Source organism: Homo sapiens, chromosome 4 (assembly GCF_000001405.40).
Source record: "Homo sapiens chromosome 4, GRCh38.p14 Primary Assembly".
In the NCBI taxonomy this organism is placed as follows: domain Eukaryota; kingdom Metazoa; phylum Chordata; class Mammalia; order Primates; family Hominidae; genus Homo; species Homo sapiens.
Genome location: NC_000004.12, coordinates 35937220 through 35948103, shown reverse-complemented (window position 1 = coordinate 35948103; position 10884 = coordinate 35937220).

Sequence of the window (10884 nt, the reverse complement as noted above, 5' to 3'; positions counted from 1 at the left end):
ATTTTAAAATGAGAACATTAAGGTCAACGTTGTCTTTTAATTTTACAACTAACTTGTATGTTTTCTTTCTACTAGTTCTCTAGAAACTCTTAGTTCTTGGAGCCAATCTTCATTAATTGTATGCTTTGATTAATTTCTTGACTTTTACTTGATATTTAGTAAAACTTTCATGTTTAGTCACCCAGTATATTACTCTCTCTCTCTTTCTCTCTCTCTCTCTCTGTGTGTGTGTGTTTGTGTGCACATGTGTATCTCTGTGAGGCAGAAACAGTTGAGCTTTTTTGTTTGTAAATAGTATAAGCCAATGAGCTACAAATAAGTGCTTACATTTATTTTGCCATAGAGAAGATTTCTTTTGATAAATGTATATTTTCTCACTGGAAGTACATATCAAAATACTTGCACAGAATTTTTAAATATATAATCTTTGTTAATCTCTTGCACAATTTATATTGAAGAAGACTCTAAAGGCGAGATGATAAAAGCTTTTTCAGAAAGAGGATAGACCTTTATTAAAACTGTACCATAGAATCTATTTGGTTATGTGCAAAAATAATTTAATTTAAAATAACCACACTTTTAGAGATTAATTATTATAATATATGTCTAACACGTAGTTTTAACATACTCCAAATCCACAGTTTCAGGCCCGGGTACTCAGATGTTCTGCAGTTGGCAATTAATACTAATAAGCAGAGCAATTCGAAGAAAAAGTACACTAATAAAATACACCCAGCTTTGGGTTTTAAATGGAGAAATTCTAGACTAATTGGGAATTTTGAAAGTTAATAGTATTTTTTAAATTCTAGAATAATATCTTTTGAAATAAGAGAAAGAACCCTTTAAGCATCTACATTTGGGCTTTGGACATATTTCCTAGGCAAAATATTTTTTGAGACAGAAAATTATTTTGTCTTCAGGGGGAAATCACAGAATCTTAAGTTGAAAAGGGTCTGGGAAGTCACCTGGTCAACTGACAACCAAGATAGGGATTACCTTTGATCCATGCCTGATGGATTACATGGTGGTCACCTAGTTGCTCTCTGGACACATCTATGAAGAGTGTTTTGACCTCTTTTTTTTGAGATGGAGTCTCCGTCACTCAGACTGGAGTGAAGTGATGTGATCTCCACTCATCACAACTTCTGCCTCCCAGTTCAAGGAATTTTCCTGCCTCAGCCTCCTGAGTAGCTGGTATTACAGGCATGCGCCACCACACCTGGCTAATTTTTGTGTTTTTAGTAGAGATGGGGTTTCACCATGTTGCCAGGCTGGTCTCAGACTCCTAACCTCAAGTGATCCACCGACCTCGGCCTCCAACAGTGCTAGGATTACAGTGTGAGCCACCGAGCCTGGCCTTGACCTCTTTTAAGAGTGATTCTAATTGTTACTGAGTTGAAAGGAATGTCATTGGACAAACATTTCCCCACTGAGTTATATTCTTCCTTCCGAATATAACTCAGAATAAGTCTCATTCCTCGTTGATCTAAGATCCATTTTTTTTTTTTTTCTGAGACGGAATCTCGCTCTGTTGCCCAGGCTGGAGTGCAGTGGGTCTATCTTGGCTCACTGCAAGCTCCGCCTCCCAGGTTCACGCCATTCTCCTGCCTCAGCCTCCCGAGTAGCTGGGACTACGGGCGCCCGCCACAACGCCCGGCTAAGTTTCTGTATTTTTAGTAGAGACGGGGTTTCACTGTGTTAGCCGGGATGGTCTAGATTTCCTGACCTCGTGATCCGCCCGCCTTGGCCTCCCAAAGTGCTGGGATTATAGGCATGAGCCACCGCGCCCGGCCTAAGATCCTTTACTTGAGAATAGCTAAACTGTTCACATTATCTTTTCTTTTCTCCTTTAAACTTAGCTTAGTCATTCAGATGAAAGAATACTGAAGAGACTTTTAGTCACTACTCTTTGGAGTCCTGGTTCTCTAACTTTACTCCTTCTTAAGGCTCGTCTCTTCCTCATTTCCTCTTCTCCCTCAATTCTGTTAGTTACTGTGTCTAATTCAGTAGGTTCTTTTTGTTCCGAAATTAGGTGTAATTGAATTTCATTGTTTGGGATCAATGAACTTCATAGCAGGAAAGTTATCATCATCATAATCACATCAACATATATGGGTAAAAACATTATATATGTTTTGCATTGAACTATTTAATGTATTGATTTTATCTTCTAAAAATTTTGTTTTGTTTTTCCTTTGTAAATCCAGAGAAATAATGTATTTCTCCAAATGTTTTGACAGTCTCTTGACACACCACAGCACTGCTACTCTTGTGAGTAAGGCTACCACTATTTAATAAACACAATCATGGCCTCTTAGAAAGAGTCATGAGAAAAGTGGTGCAGGATTAGATTTTAACAAGTAGTCAGAGAAGGTGAATTTTAAGGTTGAGATACATGATTGTTAATGCAAAGTAGTATATTGGATTTTAGTAGTTAAAACATGAGTATGTTTGTGTTTTAGATGCTTTCCTTAACTAGAAAGCACATCACTGTCTAAACTGAATGCTATTTAAGGTATCCATCAGTAAAATTCACTAAATAATTCATTCTGGCAATGTACACTAACTTATATGAGCAATAGCTTCAGTATTTATGATTATTGCCAGATCGTCTCATCTTCAGAAATATCACATGCTGGCTTACACCTGAGGAAGGATGCTTTTAATTCCTGTTCATCAACAATTTTAATATAGTAGCTTTTTAGTATCTACTAAGATGCATAGGAAATAGTTAAGCCTGTCTGGCAGGCACATTCAACCTTGCATGTCTGACTGAGCTCAGCTGGGTTCCACCAGGAGGATTCAAAGTGGGATATGAAAGACAAAAAAAAAATGAAGATTTAGTTGGAAATAACACGATCATGAACATTTAGGTACTGCTGAGTATGGATGATGCTTTTATCTGTTTTACTCCTTATTTTCCAAAGAAATGACACCTGTGACCCCTGTCTAACAGTGAATATTTTACCTATCCAGAAGGAGTTATAAACAGCTTTTTCATTATAGATCTGTTCTTGTTTGTTTTCTCTTAACAAGTTCAGTCATACTCTAGTGCAACAAGAATAACTTACCATGCAAGCATAGTTATCAATACACTCAACTTTCCACTCTAATTTTAATGTTGGATGCAGATGATATGGCAAACAGATAGATATTTATTGGGAACATGTCTCTTTCATTCTCTCAGTGGCCAAATAACTATATGAATTTATGTTTTTGTTAAATGCTGTATAATTGACCCAAAGAGGGAGAATCTTCTTTAAACTTGATTTTTCCCCCTTGTGTATGTGTGTGTGTATAAGATTTCTGTATTATTCTTATAATTTTTCTGAAAGTTTGAAACTGATTAACATAAAAACTTAAAATAAACAATGTATTCAGATGTGTACCAAAAATAGACACAAAATCTCATAATGTCTGTTAAATCCGCCTACATCCAAGAATTTCAAAAACAATTTAACTCTTCCAAAAGAATATATTTGGGAGCAGTTTTTGTGCATCATAGTCTTTTGTCCCGTAACATGTCAGTATTTCCTAGGAACATGGATATTCTCTTACAAAAGGACTGTATAGTTATCTAGTATAAAAATTTAACACTGGTACTTAATTCTATGAGTCATAATCTGATTTTTGTCCCAGTAATATCTTCTATACCTTTGTACCTTCAAGAATAAGGTCCAAGACCACATATCAAATTTAGATGTCATGTCTGTTTAGTCTCCTTCAATCTGGAAAAGTTCCTTAGTCTTTCTTTGCCTTTCGTGACATTGACATTCCTCAGCCTCCCGAGTAGCTGGGACTACTAGAGCCTGCCACCATGCCTGGCTAATTTTTTGTATTTTTAGTAGAGACGGGGTTTCATCGTGTTAGCCAGGATGGTCTCGATCTCCTGACCTCGTCATCTGCCCGCTCAGCCTCCCAAAGTGCTGGGATTACAGGTATGGGTCACCACCATGACTGCCAGGGGATCATTTTTCTACAGAGAACATCCAAAGCACATCCTCCAACCCAACTATATGCTATTTTTCTTCTTTTAGTGTAGGTACAACATTGATGAAATGATGCAAAAATCTCCAACAATGAGACAGCTGCCCAGTGTACTCAGAGCAAAGACAGACCAGAGGACAGGCCCATGCAGTGTCCAGGGTGAGGCTGTCAGGAAGCAACACCATTTCTAAAGGGGCAAGAAACTAGCAGCTGTCATGTTTGTTAGAGATAAATATACTGATACTTAGAACCCTAGTGGTGAACAGCAAGCTACTGAAAAGTGAGATCTGGATTTAACTTGTATGTATTACCTATAGTGTTTTGTCTAGAGACTGGTTGTTTCTGACTTGTGGTTTTTCTAGTCTCTGGCATCTGAAAGTGAACAGAAGCAGGGTAGATTTGACCTAGACCTCTAATCCTAACTCCACACAAACTCCAGCTCTAACACTAGTTCTAACTTTAGCTCTAGCTCAAACTCTAACTCTAATTCACTCTAACTCAAATTTCCTCTTAATTTGGGCTCTTTTTACTCTTGTGTTAAAAAGATTGCAAGTCAATCCATAGTTCTTGATTTATCTGTCTTTCTCCACAAGTTCTAGTTGATCTGTAAGAATTTTTCCCTAAGTTGTATCAATGTAACTCCTTCACGCCTTTTGGTCTCTTTGCTGGATTTTACCACTTCACTACTTCCAAGTGACACACCATAGACTAGTCTTTATGTTATGCATGGAAAATTGAATCTGTTAATTCCTGAATGAGATGACAATTAAAAATATATAATCAGAAGACATACCGATCATCATCTATAGTTTGTAGTAAACAGGTCTATAGTATGTCAATCCTTTATTTTATCATCACAAAGTCTCTAGATAAAAGATGTAATGAAATGAAACAAATACCTAAAATACAATCAATCCTCCAGTGCTTATAATATGCACAATACGGTGAACAGAACCCTTTGGATAGTATCTTAATTTCTGTTGAGTTGTGACACAAGTTACAGCTAATTATGGGTGACACTAAAACAACTCATTTCTGTGCTTCAAGTGCTTAAAAAACTGGACAGAAATAAAAATTATTAAACACATATAAGACCAAAATGATCAAGCAACATTATATTTCTATATCTTATGTTTGTCAAGCCTTATTGGGTTGAGGTATCACACTTTACTATTGCTATTAATATTTATACTACTTGATATCATACCATTAAATATGCTTTAGAATAAGACAAAGAAACAGAATAATAAAAATGTAAAAGACTTAACAAAAATGCAAAATTATAACTGGAAACCTACTTCTGAAGTAAGTTGACAACACTTATCATAGTTATTTATGTTTGAACTAAGTGTTGAAATACAGGTTGTAGGGCACAGGTAATATGTGAAAGTTCAGATGACTTGGACAACAGTGAATCTGTAGCCCACATGATTATCTGTTGCATAATTTAAGAACTTGGGAAGTAGTGGACATCCCTTTAAGATGCAGTGAGGAAAAGTACTTATTTTTGCTTTTAATATCTTCAGCATTTTCATGTCAATGACTTTAGAGGGAACAGAATAAGAGTGTGACAATACCAGTAATGGTGCCATCACCGTTACTGGTGACATATTTTGCTCTGATGATCATGTGTTAGACAGGTATAAGAAAAACTGGTGTTCTCACTTTGTTTGTTACTCCCTGAGTGACCTTGATTAAGGCATATAAAAACACCAAAAAATCTTAGCGTTTCCTCATCTGTAACATAAGGAAGTTGAACCAGAAACACAATCTCTGAAATAATACAATTCAGGGAAGTACTTTGCAAAAGCAATGGCACTTGCCCTCTGCCTCAGATTTTCCTGTTGAGAAACTGACCATAATGGAGTGAAAGTGTAGGAGTAATTTTCCTAATGTAGGATCATCAATTGGGTCACTTGATTTCTTTTAAGCCCGCCATTTCATCTGAAATTTCACCATGTACCTCCCCTAAGAGAAAAAATTGCAAATCTGGCAAACTAAAACCTGAAAATGGAGCAATTGCTCCTAAAAGACACTTTCTATGTAATCGTACAATTATGAGCCAATTTTCTTCTTTCCATCTATTATATTCTGTAAGTCTAATGTATTTAAAAAGGTTCACTGCCTGAGAATGTTGTGATATTTATATAAGCTCTGAGTTTTTTTATGCCATTTGAGGAAGGTAATTAATGCACATCAAGTAAGTATTAATAGTGGCAAGACTTAGGCCCATTTCAAATTGTTGCATCAAAGGCTCATATTGGTTCCTTATGAAGCCGTATTTTTCATGTTGGACTATTCAATCAGGGAAATAATAGTTGTACATACTGGGTACTCACTTTATCTTGGGCAGGTTGGACCTATGATGAAAATCTCAAGTACTACTGAGGTGAGAAATGTGGCCCCCTGGGAGAGGGCAAGGAGAACCACATATAGAAATTAAAAATAGGTGAGTGATTAAGAAATGAGCCTGGGTGACTTTGAATGAGAACCACTGAGATTATAATTTTATTCTTTGTTCCTGTTTCTTGGTATTGCTTCCCACTTGCACCACAGCTTCTCTGCCACTCTTTTACCTGTTTTCCCAAAGGCAACTTGGCATGTAGATTGCATTCGTCAAAACAGTAAATATAATACTTTTGAAAATCAGTATATCATGATTATTGTATCAGTTTCCCAGGGTAGCTGTATCAATACAACACACAGAATCATTTAAACATCAGAAATTGTTATTTTCTCATAATTTTGGAGGCTAGAAGGCCAAGATTAAGGTGTTAGCAGGGCGTTGCTCCCTCTGATGGGGCTAGGGAAAGATCTGTCCCGGACCTCTGTTCTAGCTTTTGGTGGTTTGTGAGCAATCTTTGCATTCCTTTTTTTCCTCAGTCACCCTCATCTCTGCCTTCATCTTCACATGGACTTCTCCCAGCATGCTTTTCTTCTTCTAAGGACACTAATCATATTGGATTAGGAGCCCATCTTACAACAGTATGATCTCATCTTCATTTAATGAATTGTGTTTGCAACAATCGTATGTCCTAATAAGCTCATATTCTGAGTTATTGGGGTTTAGGACTTCAATATATATATTTTAGGGGAGATATAATTCAGTTCATAACTCTTATAGAAAATGATCACAAATTTGGTCATCTGCTTTGCTTTGACTCTTCTCCAAGATGAAGTCACACTTCACATTGCTGACAGTGCTTTCACCTTTGCTATTTAAGTTTTCCTGTTTTGCCTCTTTTGCTGTTATTATCGATTCCAAGTAACTAGTCCACTTGCTGTCGCATGGCATGACTGTGAAATTGAAGTGAAATAGTTAATACTGTTGAAACACAGCTTTCTTCCTATTTTGTCTATTTTCCCTCTATTTCAAAGACCACAGAGATTTATCCCTGTTCTATTCATCCTTTGCCTTTACTCCATCAGTCTTATTTCCATTCAGGTAAATGAAAAGTCAATATTATTAATCAGATTAGCATCTGTGTATGAAAGTCTCAGCAAATTTTTAAAAGCCTGTGAGATGATTACGGCTTTATGACATAATTTCCATTTCCCTTGAAATGTATAAATCAGGACAAAATATTCCCTATGATGTGAATACTTCCATGACCACATTGATCATAATAAATAGACTTAGACTATTTTAAAGTACTTTAAATATATAATAGATTTTTCTAACCTTGTGATTTAAAGCAAGAAATTTTGTCGATTATTAGTTCTTAATGGGTTCTTGTTGTCAGTTGTTCATTTGGTGTGGAATAACATAGAAATAATTGCAGCCCTTATCTGGTGGTGAGGACCTATGTTTTATATGACATTTGAATTTGAAATCAATATACTATTGATGCTTTACAATGTAATGGCTTGTAGAGATCCTAAACTGGAAGGTTAAATGTAAAATCTACTGACTATGACAATGAACTGAAGTCACTATTTATTAAGGTCTTCAAAGAAATACAAAGACATTCACACTCTTAAAAAGCAAAAAAGCAAACCTCAATAGTAGTTTTGCAATTGCATAATTTTAAATGCTCAAGGCAATATGGGAGATACTTTTGAATTAAAAGAGACTGCTCTGTTTGTTTTCCAAATGACTGTACTACCTTTAGCCAGTCAGGGGTGATTTTAAGTAATCTTATCTTGGCAGCAAGCCAATGAGCCCCTGCACACTTTGGTGTTAGACACAGGGCACTAGTGCACGCTTGGTCTGTCAGATCACTCATGAGACCAACACTGCTTAGTGCAATTTTTAAATTTCTACAGCAGCTTTTATCCCAGAAACATAGAAATGATAAGGATTTCAAAGACAGTACTAAAAAGTGAATGCTGCTTGCTGGTGATCCAATTAGAGAGAAGACATAAGAAATTTAGGAATTGTCTCTAATTCCTGATCATTATGTTTCATTTATATGCTGACTAGTTAATAAGGATTTTTTTATTGTTAAAAGAGAGTTGCCATAAATCTTTCCTCATTAATACCACATTAATACTATACCGATGTAAATAAACAAATCCAAAACAAAGCAAGAAGGACAAAAAACTGAATTGAACGTTTGTAAAATTCCAATGGAAGTTTATAATCTAAGAATTTGCTTTAAACCCTACTCCATTTCTGATTTTGGAGCTCATACTCAATTTGTCTGACATTTATTCATAATTAATATCTTTTTATTCATCTCACATATATTTCATTATATTTTCAATTCCATAAAAGACACAAAGTTTTGAGATATCTTTGTATAAACCTTGGTTTTCTCATCTTTACAATGGAAAGCACAGTCTCTTATACACTATGGGATTTTTTTGAATATCAAATGAACATCTATTCCTAACCATTTTCTGGGCATCGTTAAAACACATTAAAGACAATAATTCTAATGCATTACTACATAAATAATAATCGTTTATAATTACAAAAAAGATTCACTTCAGCCGCCTGATGAAACCAAAAGCTGATAAGCAAGCAAGATTCACTTGTTATTTCTTCTTCCTGTTTTTCTGGTTTACTAAAACTGGTGCTCAGAATTGTTCCTTTATTCCTCAAAGCAGTGTTGTTTTGAATGCTTTTAGTTCTTTACTCAAAATTTATAATCTGTACTATATTATAATGTAGATTGAAGGGTTAAAAAATAACTGTAGAGTTAAGGGTCTCAATTCTGGATCTGTCTTTTGTTTACTGTCATTCACACTGAATATGCTTTTCTGCCATACATGATTTCCAACAAAATCAAAAACATTAAATTTGGAAGAGACTTTAAAAATCCTGCACTTTTACAATTGCATTGAAAAGGTGGCAACTATAGCAGAAACAGTAAATGACGTTCAAGAGGTTACCTTTTTAGGAATAGCAGTCCTATCTGGAAACCACATTTCTTCAAAGTCCAGGCCCATTTCTTTTCTTCGCATTTTTTTTCCTCAAAAGATTTGTAATTTTAATATAATTAAGGGAAGTTTAAAAGCTCTACCAAGAACATCTAAATATTATCACATTACTTCAGGAAAATTATAGATTTTTAACTGATGTTTTTCTTATTAATAACAATAGCAACAAATCATTGTCTTCTTAGCAATCTTAGAAAAGAGTGAAGAAATCATGATAGGTCCTCACCCTTTAAAATGTAGAGGGAGTAAATGCATATGAACAAATAATAATAATTGTGGGATATAAATGTTATGTAATAAAAGCACTTGCAAAGTATTTTAGGTGGAATGAAATTAACACATGAAACAATAATGGAAAACGTTAAGACCAACCTGTAAACTTCTGAATGAATGATTTGGGGCTTAGTCAATCCTTGCTATGGGTTATATTAGTTGGAAATGTGTTAAGGAGAAGGTGAGACAGTGCAGGGGCTTGCAACATTTTAATTGCGACTCATGATGATTAATTTTTATATTGTAATTCAAACACACATATGTAAATGTCATACACGAATCTTAAAGAAGATTCATGAACAAGTCTCATTCTTATTAATTACGATACACTCTGATCTATTCCTTTCCATTCCAGTGTCTGGTTGTGAACCATGAAATTGATTTTACAATCTGCAGTCTGAAATACACTGAACTAACATGTATCGAACATCTGTTATGTATCAATCTGTTGGATAGGCATTGCATACATGCCACCTCACTGAATTTTGCCCGGATTTGGTAAGGCAGGTATTATTACATCTTTTTAGAAATGAGTAAGTTGAGTGAGTTCATGTCCTTTGTAGGGACGTGGATAAAACTGGAAACCATCATTCTCAGCAAATTATCACAAGGACAAAAAACCAAACACCACATGTTCTCACTCATAGGTGGGAATTGAACAATGAGAACACATGGACACAGGAAGTGGAACATCACACACCGGAGACTGTTGTGGGGTGGGGGGAGGGGGGAGGGATAGCATTAGGAGATATACCTAATGCTAAATGACAAGTTAATGGGTGCAGCACACCAACATGGCACATGTATACATATGTAACAAACCTACACCTTGTGCACATGTACCCTAAAACTTAAAGTATAATAATAATAAAATTAAAAATAAAAAAAGAAATGAGTAAGTTGAATTGCATTCTGAGAGCATCTTGTGATGCAAAGCTGGCACATCTGAATGGCACATTTTTTGCCCTGGTGAATGGTATGAAGGTCAAAAAAGCTTGGCAAAGGGCAAGACATAAGAAATTTAGAGCAAGCTTGGCCATATTTCCTGCACCCAGGCCCATCAGGCTTCATACAGACCTGTTGGCTTTTGTGGTAGCCTATCCTACATTTTTCAATTCTATAGCCTTCTTTTTTTCCCCCCTAATAAACCATTGTTCTTCTTACTCATAATATGGGGCATCTCTGCTCTCCACTCCAGTGATGCCACAATTCCGGTATTTGCAAGATTTGTTTATAACT